The sequence below is a fragment of the Homo sapiens genome, chromosome 2 (genome assembly GCF_000001405.40).
Source record: "Homo sapiens chromosome 2, GRCh38.p14 Primary Assembly".
NCBI lineage: Eukaryota > Metazoa > Chordata > Mammalia > Primates > Hominidae > Homo > Homo sapiens.
This window is the reverse complement of record NC_000002.12, coordinates 63,745,657-63,760,885: the sequence shown is the minus strand read 5'-3', so window position 1 is coordinate 63,760,885 and position 15,229 is coordinate 63,745,657. Positions and strand designations below refer to the sequence as shown.

General features: G+C 38.8%; 1 protein-coding gene and 1 pseudogene across 5 annotated transcripts in view, besides 1 other annotated feature; both read left to right on the top strand.

The window, feature by feature from the left end:
* The window catches only part of WDPCP (WD repeat containing planar cell polarity effector), a 721,268-nt gene that overhangs the window by 79,941 nt on the left and 626,098 nt on the right, over positions 1-15,229 (top strand). The gene's annotated exons all lie outside the window — the stretch shown is intronic.
* Positions 8,178-9,388, top strand: HNRNPA1P66 (heterogeneous nuclear ribonucleoprotein A1 pseudogene 66; annotated as a pseudogene).
* Positions 13,846-14,497: an enhancer, noted in NCBI's record as "OCT4-NANOG hESC enhancer chr2:63973523-63974174 (GRCh37/hg19 assembly coordinates)". NCBI's record gives its function as "activates a minimal SCP1, AML or CMV promoter by ChIP-STARR-seq in naive H9 embryonic stem cells {active_cell/tissue: H9 hESC(naive)}" and the evidence as "EXISTENCE:reporter gene assay evidence [ECO:0000049][PMID:30033119]".

The window sequence follows — 15,229 nt, the reverse complement described above, 5'->3', positions numbered from 1 at the left end:
CGTCATCTGCATTGGAGATTCCTGTGGTGGGCAGGCCTTGACTCTGAAGAACTCATACATGTACCCCACAAGGAAAGCAGAATTTAGGGACTGTCACACAGAGGGCATCCTTAGAACCACAGTGTTAGTCAGAGAGAAGTGACAACCCACCAAGTTGGAAGAGATTCTTGTCCTAGACCTTCGCCCTTTTCCTACCTAATGCTGGAGACTTCAGCTTTGGAAAAGGTAAGAAGGAAAGATGTTGCAGAAACAGATTCTCTAATAATCAGGGTCCCAGGTCAGTTCTACCCTAGGAGGAGGGGAAAATGAGATTTAAGTTGAGGATGAGATTAAAGTCTTTAAATATACCGAGTTTTAATAGCCAAAATGAGTAGTTATGGAATCTGAAAGTTAGGAATCTAGTTTGCCTATAAGTTCTAGAAGTTGTTAGGGGCAGGAAGGGAAATATTCCACAGATTTCATGTTGAAAGGAAGAATTGGAGAAAAAGAAATCCTTTTCGTGTGTAAACGCTCTGTGTTATAGATGCAATCAAGCCCTCCTGGAACAGAGTTGTAACACTGATATGTAACAGTGGATATCAACATCAACTCTGGGTGTCGTATTAAACTCTCAGGCAAGGCTTCCTTCATGGATGCAGTCTCATAAGGCCTCATGCTCAGAAGGGGGCTTTATGCTTGGGGTTTAATATTCTGTTGTCACCATCTTAAAGTTCTTAATACTTTATCTTCAAATTTGTGTTTGGTAAGTGAAGTCTGGTAAGACAATGGAGCACGTACTTGGGGCTTGGAGCCCAGGCTCATTCACAGTCCTGCCTCCCACCACCTTCCCAAACAGCTTCTTCACTGCCCACTCCCCTATTCCCTGAAGCCCAGAGACTCATCCAGCCTCCCTCTTACTGCCCCCACCCAGTGACAGCTATCACCCATCACCCCCTGGGTGTAGGCTTGGGGAGGGTTGGGACCAGTTGGGCATGGGCAGTGCCATCTTCATCCTGTACTGATAGTGCCACAGTATATTAGGCAAGAACTTGGCTGAATGAGCCTCTAGCCTAACCCTCATCCAGGTATCTGGTATATCTGGAGGTTCTGCTGTTCATTGTGGATTGTGGCAGCAGGCCGGTGAGAAGGAGAAATGCTTGACTTAAATTTCTCACCCTGACTGTGGGCAAAACGTTGGTTTAGTGGTTGGTGGGAGGAGAAACCCAGTAGTTGGTGTATCATGTTGGGGCAGGGGCCCCTGGCTGCTTGAAATCTCCATTCACACCAAGTCTGCATGAACATAACATTAAATGGCAAATTTAAAGTACCATGACAGGTTGAGAGAGAGAAAGTGGAAGAAAGGAAAAAGATTTATATATTAGTTCCTGTAACAATACATGTTTCCTGCTTCCTGGACAAAAAGCCTCACATTTTTGTTTTGTACCAAGCCCTGCAATTGTGTAGCTGGTCCTGTACTCAAGTCCCCTTTCCCAGGGAAGGATTAATTTCCTAATATGGAGTGTCCTCTACCTGACTCCCAGTGCCTGAAGCTGTGACAAGACTTTCCATGCCAGCTTACTGCCTCCATACAGAGGCCGATACAGGTTGCATGGACCTGAAGCTCATATAATTTAGGGGGCAGTCCTTTAAAAAACTACAAATACAAGATTGCTAGGTCCCCTCACAGGACCTTAGAAAGGGCCTGTGCAAGTGAGGGGTCCTAAAGCTTATGCCTTATGAGCTTCATGGTAACTCCACCCCTGCCTTCCCAGCATGCCTTCTATTCACTCCTGGGTCCACTTTAAGAATCTGGAGCTTTTTTTTTTGGCCGTGCATGGTGCCTCACGACTGTAATCCCAGCACTTTGGGAGGCCAAAGCGGGTGGATCACCTGAGGTCAGGAGTTTGAGGCCAGCCTGGCCAACATGGTGAAACCCCGTCTCTACTAAAAAAATACAGAAAATTAGCCCAGCATGGTGGTGCACACCTGTAATCCCAACTACTCGGGAGGCTGAGGCAGGAGAATTGCTTGAACTCGGGAGTCTGAGGTTGCAGTGAGCTGAGACTGGGACACTGCACTCCAGCCTGGGCAACAAAGTGAGACTCTGTCTCAAAAAATAAAAATAAAAAAAAAGAATCTGGAGCTTTTTTTAAAGACTCCAGAACTGGGCTGTACGCAGTGGCTCATGCCTGTAATCCCAGCACTTTGGGAGGCCGAGGCAGGCAGATCACTTGAGCCCAGGAGTTTGAGACTAGCCTGGGCAACACGGTGAAAGCCTATCTCTACAAAAAGATACAAAAATTAGCCAGCCGTGGTGGCATGTGCCTGTAGTCCCAGCTACTTGGGAGGCTGAAGTGGGAGGATCACTTGAGCCCAGGAGGTCAAGGCTGCAGTAAGCCAAGATGGTGCCACTGTACTTCAGCCTGAGTGACAGAGCCAGGTGCTGTCCCAAAAAGCAAAAACAAAACAAAACAAAAAGATTCCAGAACCTCTCCTGATTACCCTGAAACCCACAAATTAAAAGCTAAGCAGTCATTTTTTTTTTGGTAAACTTTCATTGAGGCCCTCATAATTTCAGTGTTTTTCTCTCCTGTCTTTCACTCTTCTTTGCTGCCACGGAGTACTTATTTGTGGCCTCCTCGAAACACCTCTTCTGCTGAACCAACCCTAGACTTCTTTATGAGAACTCTTTCCAATTCAGTGGTGCTGGGCTGCTGAGTTGAGATGGTTGACTTTATTAAATTTTTGGCCAACAATTTTACCTAGTACTGGGAAATACAATTTATTAGGTTGGTTATAAAAAAAAAAAAAACCAACAACACTTTATCTCAGGTTGATTGACATTGATCCTACTTGTCTTTGTGAAGGAAATAATTTCAATGAATTAATAAAATGTGTGCTTGTGTTAATAAAAGTCTACTGCCTTTTACTGTAGTAACAAACAACTTTCATATCACAGAGGCTTGATCACAATAAATATTTATTTCTTGCTCACTCTACATTCAGAACTCAGGTTAGCAAGGAGGTCTCTGTTCAACTTAGTGACTCAAGGACCTGGGCTGAAAGAGGTTCCATCTATACATGTGTTTCTGTGATCGCTATGGTAGGAGAGAAGAGAAACATGTGAATAAATGAATTTTGCCTGAAAGTGACACATATCATTTCCACTCACATTTCATTGGCCAGAGTAAATTACCTGTCTATGTCTAACTTCAAGGGGCAGGAAAGTACAGTCCCATCATATCCCCAGAAGAACTAGAATATTTAGAATAGCTCTAATGGCTACATGCCTTTTGGTCACCAAATGTTTGATTTGCTCTATTTCTGAGATGCAAAATATACCCACCCATTCCCTTAGGGAGAAAGCCCCAAAGTCCTAGGCAAGCATAGCATCAAGGTCATAATCTGTGACATCTGGGTGAGGTATGGTAGTTTCTAATCATGATCTGCTTCTGTAGATCCTACTTACACCTGTGAAATAAAAAAAAGACAGATTTTCTGCCTTCTCTCACCTGATACATAAGGGCTGATACAGGAACAGGATAATTGTAATATTCTCCTTGGGGAAAATGGAAAACACACAGCAAATACATGTCTATAGAATTCTGAAATCCTGTTGGGAACAACTTTTGAGGGCCCCCTACCTGTGTTTGAGGAATGTTACCTGATTAATTCTGATTTTGAGATGCTCCTTTTGCTTATTGGTCTCTGTAGCCCCTGGATCTGCCTTCTGAAAGTTTTGTCCTTTTTCATTTTCTTCTTTGACTGAATCTAAAGTGGACATTGGGAAATATGCCTTCTTTCAGGACAGAGCAAATTTCTCATATATAACCAATTTGGACTAAGCTTTTCCTCAGGGTGCTAAAATACTCCACATTGTAGTACCCCCAACTCCCACTACACATGTATAACCAACCAGTAAGGTCCCATACCTCCTGCAATTAATTGGTTTATATGTCCCCTGCAAGAGACTTTGATATGAGCACAGTGTAGTGATAAGTGCACTAGAAAATTTCTTGGATATATGATCTTAAGCAGGTTACTTGACTTCTCTGTCTGAATTTTCCCATGTGTGAAATTCTATTTTTAGATTAACAGGATTAAAGGACCAATAAACAAAACCTTTATGTGCCATATAAATGTTGGCTAAGTTCTTTTACATTTTTCCCTCTTTTAATCTATACACAGTCTTAAGAGGTTGTTAGTATTTGTTTTTATATGAGGAAACTGGAACTCAAATAGACTAGATGACTTGCCCATGTAAGAAATGATATGGCTTGCCCATATATTAAATGATATGATAAAGCTAATAAATGATAGAGTCAAGATTCCCAACTTGATATCTTGTGTACATTCTACTCCCACACAGCTGCTCCTTGTTTTGAGGTAAATGTTATTAAATTCTATAGAAAATATATAATGTATATTTGGTTTTTTATCATGAATCAAGATGTCACAGAGTGATCATAATCATTGACAAGAATTTTGCCATCTGATTTACACATTTCTGCATTACAAAGAACTGATGGACCCTGAAATAAGGCTATTGCTTTCTTAAATTGTTATAATAACAATGCAGGATGCAGCAATTCAAAGGATACAGAATTTTTTATAATGTGCTACTTCTATCATTCCAATCAAGTGTAGTCAAGCAAACTTACTTTAAAAAGAATGAATATATACTATCTTCAGTGGAAATGTGGGCAAGACTAGTTCTGAGTTGTTAAATGTTTAGGAAAAATCAATAACATTCTGAATTCCAGTTCACTGATGCAGAATATGACTCAAAGCCAAAACAGAATGTTTGGGACAAATTAGGAAGAAAACTATTTTTCACTTGAGGTTCTTGTTACAACTGAGATTATCTCTTCCTCATTAAGCAAAACTAATTAAAAAATCTTTTGGTTCAATATTTAATCTTCTATCTGAGATTTTACTGTTTTAATAGGAAATGCAATGAGAATTACCTGGTCTCTGACCTAAGTCAGTGCATAGGAAACATTTCTGCAGGGGAGATTCTTAAAGAAGGGATAGAATATTTTGCACCTTGGTTACTAATTTTCCAGGCAGCGAGTGTGTAGACAAATTATATTTTCCCTATTGTATATGTGTCTTGGATTTCACTAATGGACATTAGTATTTTTTGCACTATTTTTAAAAAGTCAGTTACTTAAATTGAAAACATTTGTTAAGGCCATGCATGACTAAGATGTTGGATTTTTAAAAACAATCTATCAGAATTTAAGAGCTTTTGCCTATGAGATTCTATAGACAAGAACAATTTTATGAAATCAGAAAAAAAATTTAAGCATTATGTAGGTTTGGGTACATAAAGAAATTTGCTCACTAACGTCAACTTTTGTTGTTATTTTAGTTATTCTTGTCTTGAAGATTTTTTCTTCCTGTTTCATTTTCCCAATTGTAGCAGAAGCTGCCAGATGTGCATTTAAATACTTCCCTCCTCCTTCCACTGTAATAAAAGGCACATGGCTAACCAACTATACGACATGTCCTTGCGTCTCCTGCTATTAGATGTAGCCATGCGAGTAAGTGTACTCCAATGGAATGCAAATAGGATTTGTCCTTAAAAACCTCCCACACGTGCTCCTCTAAGATGATAGCGCACCTCTGAGATGGCTGTCAGTGATTCTTGGCTCATGGTCCCTGTATAATTCCCTCCTCTACTGAATATAGCAGACCTGTGTAACGAACAAGATAGTGCAGAAATGATGGAATGTGATTTCCAAGTCAAGGCCATAAAGGACATTTAGGCTTTCATCTTGTTCTCTTAGATTACTTTCCTGAGGGAGGTCAGCTACTACGTCATGAGGGCATTCCAACAGCCCTTATAAAGAGGCCTGAGTGTCAGGAAACCAAAGCCAGCTGCCTATAGCCAGGACTAAGGAAGCCATATTGGAAGCAGATACTTCAGCCCTAGTCAAGCCTTCTTATGACTGTACCCACAAAACACATCTGATGGCAAACTCATGAATGACCTTGAGCCAGAACCATTCAGCTAAGAAATTGGGTCCAAATTTCTGACCCAAAATAACAATGAGATAATAAATATTAATTGTTGTTTTAAGCTGCTAAGTTTGTTATGCAGCAGCAGATAATTAATACACCCAGTCAGCTGGATGGCAATACTCATGAGAGTCTTGGAAATCATGTCTTGAAGATTGCAGAGCTGCTGTCAGCTCAGGTGCCTGAATGATTGTGTAAAGGAGGGCCCTTTCCTCTAGTTTCTCCACTCCCCACATCAACCTGGACTGTTGAGAGAGAAATAAACTTTAGAGCCATTACATGTTTGGGGTCTAAAATTTGTAACAATATAGCCAGCCCTAACAAATACACCAACTTTGTATTCTATTTCTTCCTTACATCAAGTCTTATTCATCTGTGAGAGTATTATTCCCCTGAACAAGGATTATTATTGGCATAGTTCTTCAAACACTATCAAAAATATTGTATTGGCTACAAGGCATTACATTAAATATTCAAAGCACTTCCCCCACCTGCAAATCCTATTTTATTTGCCTAGGACTCTATGTTTACTATCAGAGTTGTGGTTGATACTGTGGTGCCCTGTTCAGATCCTGTTCACTTGGTTAAATCTTCTATCCCCAAGGTCCTATGAGTGGTGGCTGGTAATAGCTTACAGCTAGCCCTCTTCTCTAGAGAATTGCCATCAACTGATAGGAGCCAACTTACTAGGGAAGTTGTGCTCCCTCCATAGATGACCCACAACAGTGGCCAACTGACATGATGGCATAAAAGTCCAGCCCTTGCCACCAGGGATGACAACTCTGCTGTGCTGTTTGTATTTCAGATCCCTCCCTTCTGTGGTTTGGGCCAGGACTAGACTTTACCTAAGACCAGATCCTTGCTTGGCAGCTCTTTTCCCTTCCCTATCGTGCTCCTCTCCTTCACTTACAGGTTTTTCCCGAGGAGTCCCTCAATAAACCACATCCACCCAAATCTCTGTCTCAGATTCTGGTTCCAGGGAATTTTATCTAAGGCTACCTACTTCCATAAAACTGAACACGAGAGGTAAGATCCTCTTCTCAGGTACTTCCATAACTTATATTGTTTGGATCTGTGTCCCTACCCAAATCTCATGTCGAATTGTAATTTCTAGTGTTGGAGGTGGGGTCTGGTGGGAGGTGATTGGATCATGGAGGTGGTTTCTCATGGCTTAACACCATCCCCCTTGGTGTTATCATAGCTAGAGTGAGATATTGCAAGATATGCTTGTTTAAAAGTGTGTAGCACCTCCCACCTCTCACTCTTCCTCCTGCTATGGCCATGTGAAGTGCTGGTTTCCCCTTTGCCTTCTGCCATAATTGTAAATTTCCTGAGGCCTCCCTAGAAGCTGCTATGCTTCCTGTACAGCCTGTGTAACCATGAGCCAGTTGAACCTCTTTTCTTTATAAATTACCTAGTCTCAGGTATTTCATTTTTTGTTGTTGCTGTTGTTCGAGACGGAGTCTTGCACTGTCACCCAGGCTGGAGTGCAATGGCGCAATCTTGGCTCACTGCAACCTCCGCCTCCTGGGTTCAAGTGATCCTTCCACCTCAGCCTCCTGAGTAACTGGGATTACAGGCACCTACCATCATGCACGGCTAATTTTGTATTTTTGTAAAGACGGGGTTTCATCATGTTGGCCAGGCTAGTCTTGAACTACTGACCTTGGTGACCCGCCCGCCTCGGCCTCCTAAAGTGCTGGGATTACAAGCGTGAGCCACTGCGCCCAGCCCCTAGTCTCAGGTATTTCTTCATAGCAGTGCAAGAACGGACTAACACAATACTGATATATTTTATGCATGATAGGAAGAATATATATTCAGTCCAAAACTTTGAAAAAGACTTAAAAACAGAAAAACAATAAAGAATATTAAGAAATCTAAAAGTTGGCCGGGTGCGGGGGCTCATACTTATAATCCTAGCACTTTGGGAGGCCGAGGTGGGTGGATCACTTGAGATCAGTAGTTTGAGACCAGCCTGGCCAACATGGTGAAGCCCCATCTCTACTTAAAAAATACAAAAATTAACTGGGCTGGTGGTGGGCGCCTGTAATCCCAGCTACTCAGGAGGCTGAGACAGGAGAGTTGCTTGAACCTGGGAAGCGGAGGTTGCAGTGAGCTGAGTTATCAACAAAATTGATAAATCCTAAAATGGATTAAGAATATAACATAAGGATACATTCATTAACTTACTTCTTTCTGCCTGTGGTCGCTACCAAGGAAGAGTTGCTAAAGTCTCTTCCCACCGCCACCGTCATGTCTAAATCAGTATCCTAAAGAGCCTGAGCAGCTCTTCACTGGAAGGCTGAGCTTTGAAACAACTGATGAGAGGCTGAGGAGCCATTCTGAGCAATGGGGAATGCTCACAAGCTGTGTGGTCATGAGAGATCCCAACACCAAGCGCTCCAGGGGCTTTGGGTTTGTCACCTATGCCACTATGGAGGAGGTGGATGCAGCCACGAATGCAAGGCCACACAAGGTGGATGGGAAAGCTGTGGAACCAAAGAGGGCTATCTCAAGAGAAGGTTCTCAAAGACCAGGTGCCCACCTAACTGTGAAAAAGGTATTTGTTGCTGGCATTAAAGAAGACACTGAAGAACATCACCTGAGAGATTATTTTGAACAGTATGGAAAAATTGAAGTGATTGAAATTATGACTGATTGAGGCAGTGGCAAAAAAAAAAAGGAGCTTTGTCTTTATAAGCTTTGATGACCATGACTCCGTGGATAAAATTGTCATTCAGAAATACCGTCGTGTGAATGGCCACACCTGTGAAGTTAGGAAAGCCCTGCCAAAACAAGAGGTGGATAGTGCTTCACCCAGCCAAAGAGGTTGAAGTGGTTCTGGAAACTTTGGTGTTGGTTGTGGAGGTTGTTTCAGTGGAAATGACAACTTTGATTGTGGAGGAAACTTCAGTGGTCATGATGGCAGCTGTGGTCATGGTGGATATGGTGGCAGTGGGGATGGCTATAATGGATTTGGTGATGGAAGCAATTTTGAAGGTGGTGGAAGCTACAATGCTTTTGGCAATTACAACAATTAGTCTTCAAATTTTGGACCCATGAATGGGAGAACTATGGAAGCAGAAGCACTGTGGTGTTGGAGGCCAATACTTTGCCAAACCACAAAACCAAGGTGACTATGTCAATTTCAGTAGCAGCAGTAGTTACAGCAATGGGAGAAGATTTTAGTTACTACCAGGAAACAAAGCTTAGCAGGAGAAGAGAGCCAGAGAAGGGACATGGAAGCTACAGATTACAACAGATTTGTGAACTCAACCAAGCACAGTGGTGGCAGGGCCTAGCTGCTATAAAAAAAAAGACATGTTTTAGATAAATACTCATGTGTATGGGCAAAAAACTTGAGGACTGTATTTGTGACTAAAGGTGTAACAGGTTATTTTAGTTTTTGTTCTGTAGAAAGTGTACAGCATTCCAAGAAAGGGTTTTAATGTAGATTTTTTTTTTGCACCCATGCTGTTGATTGCTAAATGTAATATAGTCTGATCATGACGCTGAATAAATGTGTCTTTAAAAAAAGAATAGAACATAAATCACCAGTATCAGAAATAAAAGAGAGGTTATCACTATAAACTCTACAGGCATGAAAAGGATAATAAGATACCATTACTAAAATTTTATACTAAAAATATGACAACTTAAATAAAATGGATAAGTTCTTTGAAAAATGCAATTTACCAAAGTCAATACAGGTTAAACAAAAACATTAATAGTCCTATATCCATTTTTAAAATTAAATTTATTGTCAAAAAATTCCACAGTGTAAATCTAGATTCAGATGGTTTCACTGATGAACATTCACTGAAGAAATAACACTAATCTTACACAAACCCTTATAAAAAACAGAAGGAGGGAACACTTTCCTGCTTGTTCGTGAGGCCACCATAACTCTGATACTAAAACCTAACAAAGAAATTACCAGAAAAAAATTTGCCTACCAATATTTTCCATGAACATAGACATAAAAATCTTTGAAAACTTAATGCATTGATTGCAGCAATATATATCAGTAATAATATACAGTGACCAAGAAGGGTATGTCACAAAAATGTAAGATTGGTTTAACACCCACAAATTTATCACTATAACCACATTAACAGAATAATGAAGAAAAAAAACATAAGATCATTTCCATAGATGCAGAAATAACATTTTTCAAAATCCATCACCCAATTATAAGAACACTTTTAGCTAACTAGGAATAGAAGGGAACTTTCACAAAAACCTAGAGCTAACCTCACACTTAATGAACATACATTGAATGCTTTTCCCCTCAGATCAGTAACCAAGAGTGAAGGCCCACCCTTACAACTTGTACTCAACAGTGTTAATGAAGGTCCTAGTTATTGCAATAAGACAAAAACAGGCAGCAGTGGGGAGAATAAAAACTTGAAGTAAAACTATCTCTGTATTCAGGTTTTTTTTTTTAAGTATATGCTTTCCTATTTATTTTACCAAGGTTGTGCGTGAAATAAACCAAAATATTTCAAGAAAACTTGAGTTTAGATAGGCTTGCCTTCTGAATTAGAGTTTTTAATTTCATAGGAATTCTGTTGTAAGTTATTCTAGTTATGCTTATATAACTAAACCTAGGCAAAATTGTGAGGCAAGAGAAATTTATTTTAGTGCCTTCCTATCTTTGGGGATTTTAAGTATATCTCTCATCCATTCTGATGCCTCCCTGTGTCTCCCAATCACCGATTGCCCAGAGGTAACATACCATTCCAGTCTATTTTTCTTCAATAATATCTCATTCTTCAAAATCACTTCTCTTTTCTTACCTATTTTTATCACAAATATATATATTCTCCCACTGTTTCAGAGTTCTAGTCACTGTTGTCAGAGGAATACATCTCAAAAACTATTTCAAACTAGTAAGTTCACAGTTAATGTGTTGTCCCTCCCAAGGATATTTGCATTGGAAGAGCATATTTATAAACAATAATAGCAAAATTAAGATAACAGCAAGACTATAGGATGGGGATATAAACATTTAATACAGTAATTTCACATCATGTGGAAGAATAGGCACCTAGTTTGTCCTTTTTTAAGAAAACAACAAAAAATTCTAGATTATGTGTTCAAGAAATCTTAAAAGCATCAATGAACTACAGATGCTTCTTATAATGGGGTTACTCCCTGATACACCCATTGAAAGTTGAAAATATTGTAAGTGAAAAATGCATTTAATACACCTAACCTACTAAACATCATGGCTTAGCCTAGCCTACCTTAAACAGGTAGTTGGGTGCTAAAACGCCTACATTAGCCTACAGTTGGGCAAAATCATCTAAGACAAAGCCTATTTTATAATAAAGTGTTGAATATTTTATGTAATTTATTAACTCGTGTATCGAATATGAAAAACAGAATGGTTGTATGGGTACTCAAATGGTTTCTACTGAATGCACATCACCTTTGCACCACTATAAAGTCAAAAAATTATAAGCAAACCATTGTAAATTGGGGACTGTCTGTACAAGAAAGTAAGGAAGTCTCAGATCAGGGACTAAAAGAGGAAGGGATCTTGGAGAAGTGTAGTATTTTAGCCAGTTTTCTTTCTGAGTCTATTTGTTAACTTGTGTAAATTTGAGCCTTGGTTATCCTGAATCTACAGAGCCCACAGAGCAGGAAACAAAGACAAGGACTTTCAAAAGGTAGCAATTTATTAGCTCATCCCTTACTTTAAAAGAGCTGAAATATCAAAGTTCTAAACAGTCAGTGTAAGCATGACCTGGAAATAAACCCATCCCTTTCTTGTCCCTGAGGTCTAAAAAGAAAATATCCTTGACCTTTAGCAAAGAGTACAGGAGGTAAAAATAGTTGCTGAAAATTTGGAATCACAAGATGGTCCTCACACAGATTTGTAGCGCAAATTCACAGAAACTGTGTGTTACCAAAAACCACAAGTTAAGAATTTAAATTAGAGCACCCCAGACTTGTAGTGCCTTCATATGGCTGGTCAGAAACAAATGCAAATTAATCTATAGTATCCCACCATCATCTCAGTCTTCAAAGACTTCAAAGAAATGAAACTCTAAGTAAAATGAACAACTCACAACAAAAACACAACAAAATATACGAGTGAACAAAAGCACCATGAGTGATACACAGCAAAAGCAAGAGCTACAAGGAATATGTCCATATGTATTTCACATACCAGCTATAAAGTTAAAATGTTTACTATGCTTAAAGGAATAAGGGATAAGCTTCAAAGTATATGCCAGTAATAAAATATTACCAAAAACATACCCAGCAATGGGTATGAGATAATATATCAAATTAGGTTTATCCTAATAATTCGGGATTGGTTTATACTAAAAAATTAGTAATGTTGTTCACCATGTTAACAAATTAAAGGAGAAAATTTATATGATCATCTCAATAAATGCAGAAAAGGTGTTTGATAAAATTTAACATTCATTTATAATAAAAACATCTAGTTAACTAGGAATAGAAGGAGCTTCCTCAGTCTAATTTAAAAATAAATAAAACTAAGGAAAATATTATATCTTGTGGTTATTCAAATAATTTTATCTAAGATTAGGAACAAAACAAGGATTCCCATTTCTATTTAACATTACACTGTATGTACAAGTCACTGAAGAAAAGCAAGAAAACATAACAAAAGAATAAGGATTGAAAGAGGGATAATACTATCATTGCTTTCAAATAATACTGTTAATATGTAAAAAAATTCAAAATGAACTACCAATAAATTTTTTAAATGAATGTAAATTTAACAAAAGTTGTCAGATACCAACTCAATATAAAACTCTATTTCATTTCTATATAGCAGCTAGAGTTAGCAAATAACACATACACTCTTTTTCTTATTCTCTTTCTATTTCCCTCACTCTCTCTCTCTGTATATATATTCATTCCATCCACATGTATTTTTAATGGAAAATACCTATGTATTAATCTAACAGAATATACAAAACTTTTAAGAAACAATAGAACTAGAAGATTCTATATTATAAAGATATCTGTTGTCCCTAATTTGATCTACAGAATCAATGCAATCTCAATCAAATCTCTGATAGATTTTGTTTAAAAAGTCAAACATGACCATCATATTCTAAAATGTATATGGAATAACAAAGGACCAAAAATAGCCAAAACACTCTTAAAGAGGACAAATGAGTTTGTCCTACCAGCTTTCAGGACACTAATAAAGCTGTGGTTCTTAAGATAGTACAGTATTAGTGCTGGATAGACAAATAGATCTATGGAACAGAATTAAAGCCCAGAAATAGACACTGACATATATAGATACTAGATATATGATGGAAGTGGTATTGCAGATGACAGGAAAATGATGAGTTTTTCAATAAATGGTACTGGATAAAGATATCCATATGGGAAAAAATTATATTGAGTCTCTACCTCACACTATAAACAAAATAAAATTTTGGGAGAATCAAAGACCTAAAAGTAAAAGGCAAAACCAAAGCCTTTAAAAAAATACATAGGAAAATATCCTCATGGCAACAGAGTACAGAAGGATTTCTTGAACAAAGTACAAAAAGACAAACAGGTGAAAGATTGAAAATTTAAACTAAATTAAAATTAAGAATTTTAGATATGTTTCAGATCATCAAAGGACAACATAAAAAGTGCAAAGACAAGTTACAAATTAGTAGAAAATATTTGTAGCATATGTTACTAAGATCTAACATCTATAGTATGCAAGAGCTGCTACAAATCAGTGGGAAAATGACAAAATAGGACCAGACATTTTATCAGGGAAAATTCAGCCCCCGATATTTCAACGTCGGTCCTTTTCTATTTTCCCTAAGTGTCAGCCAGTCTGAGAAATAAAGGGAAAGAGTACAAAAGAGAGAAATTTTAAAGCTGGGTGTCTGGGAGAGACATCACATGTAGGCAGGTTTCATGATGCCCCCGAGCCATAAAACCCAAGTTTTTATTAGCAATTTTCAAAGGGGAGGGAGTGGGTCACAGAGATCACATGCCTCAAGGGCAACAAAAGATCACAAGGCAGAATGTCAGGGCGAGATCACAAGTTCAGGGCGAAACTAGAATCACTAATGAACTTCCATGTCCCGCTGTGCACGCATTATCATTGATAAACATCTTAACAGGGTTCAAGAGCAGAGAAACGGTCTGACTAGAATTCGCCAGGCTGGAATTTCCTAATCCTAGCAAACCTTGGGGCGCTGCAGGAGACTAGGGCGTGTTTCATCCCTATCTACATCTGCATAAGGCAGACACTCCCAGGGTGGCCATTTTAGAGGCCCCCCCTGGGAATGCATTCTTTTCCCAGGGCTGTTAATTATTAATATTCCTTACTGGGGAAAGAATTCAGCGATATTTCTCTTACCTGTTTTCGGTAATAAGAGAAGTATGGCTCTGTCCTGCCCAGCCCACAGGCAGCCAGACTTTAAGGTTATCTCCCTTGTTCCCTGAAAATCGCTGTTATCCTGTTCTTAAGGTGCCCATATTTCATATTGTTCAAAAACACATGGTCTACAAACAATTTGTTTAGTTAATGCAATCATCTCAGGGTCCTGAGGCCACATACATCCTCAGCTTACGAAGATGACAGGATTAAGAGATTAAAGTAAAGACAGGCATGGGAAATCACAAGAGTATTGATTGGGGAAGTGATAAATGCCCTGAATCTTTACAATTTATGTTCAGAGATTGCAGTAAAGACAGGTGTAAGAAATTATAAAAGTATTAATTTGGGGAACTAATAAATGTCCATGAAATCTTCACAATTTATGTTCTTCTGCCATGGCTTCAGCCAGTCCCTCTGTTTGGGGTCCCTGACTTCCCACAACACATTTCACAAAAGAAGAAACTCAAATGGCCCATAAACATATGAAAACATGCTCACCTTCATTAGTGATTAAGAAAATGCAAATACAATGAGATATTTCCTATCTATCAGATTAACAAAAATTTTAAAATAGCCAATACCATGGGTTGATCAGCATCTGCCTTAATGGGAACTCAGCTGTGCTGGTGGGAACATAAATGGGCACAAAAACAGTTTGGCAGTACTTCATAAAGAAGAAAAGAGGCACAGTTTTTACCCTAGTAACTCCAGTAACTCCCTCATACTCATCAGGAGTCATACAGAACATTCATGGAAACATAGTTGATAATAGCCCCTATATTAGTCAAGATTCTCCAGAGAAAGGGAGCAAATAAGATGGAGTACAAGTGTGTGTGTGTG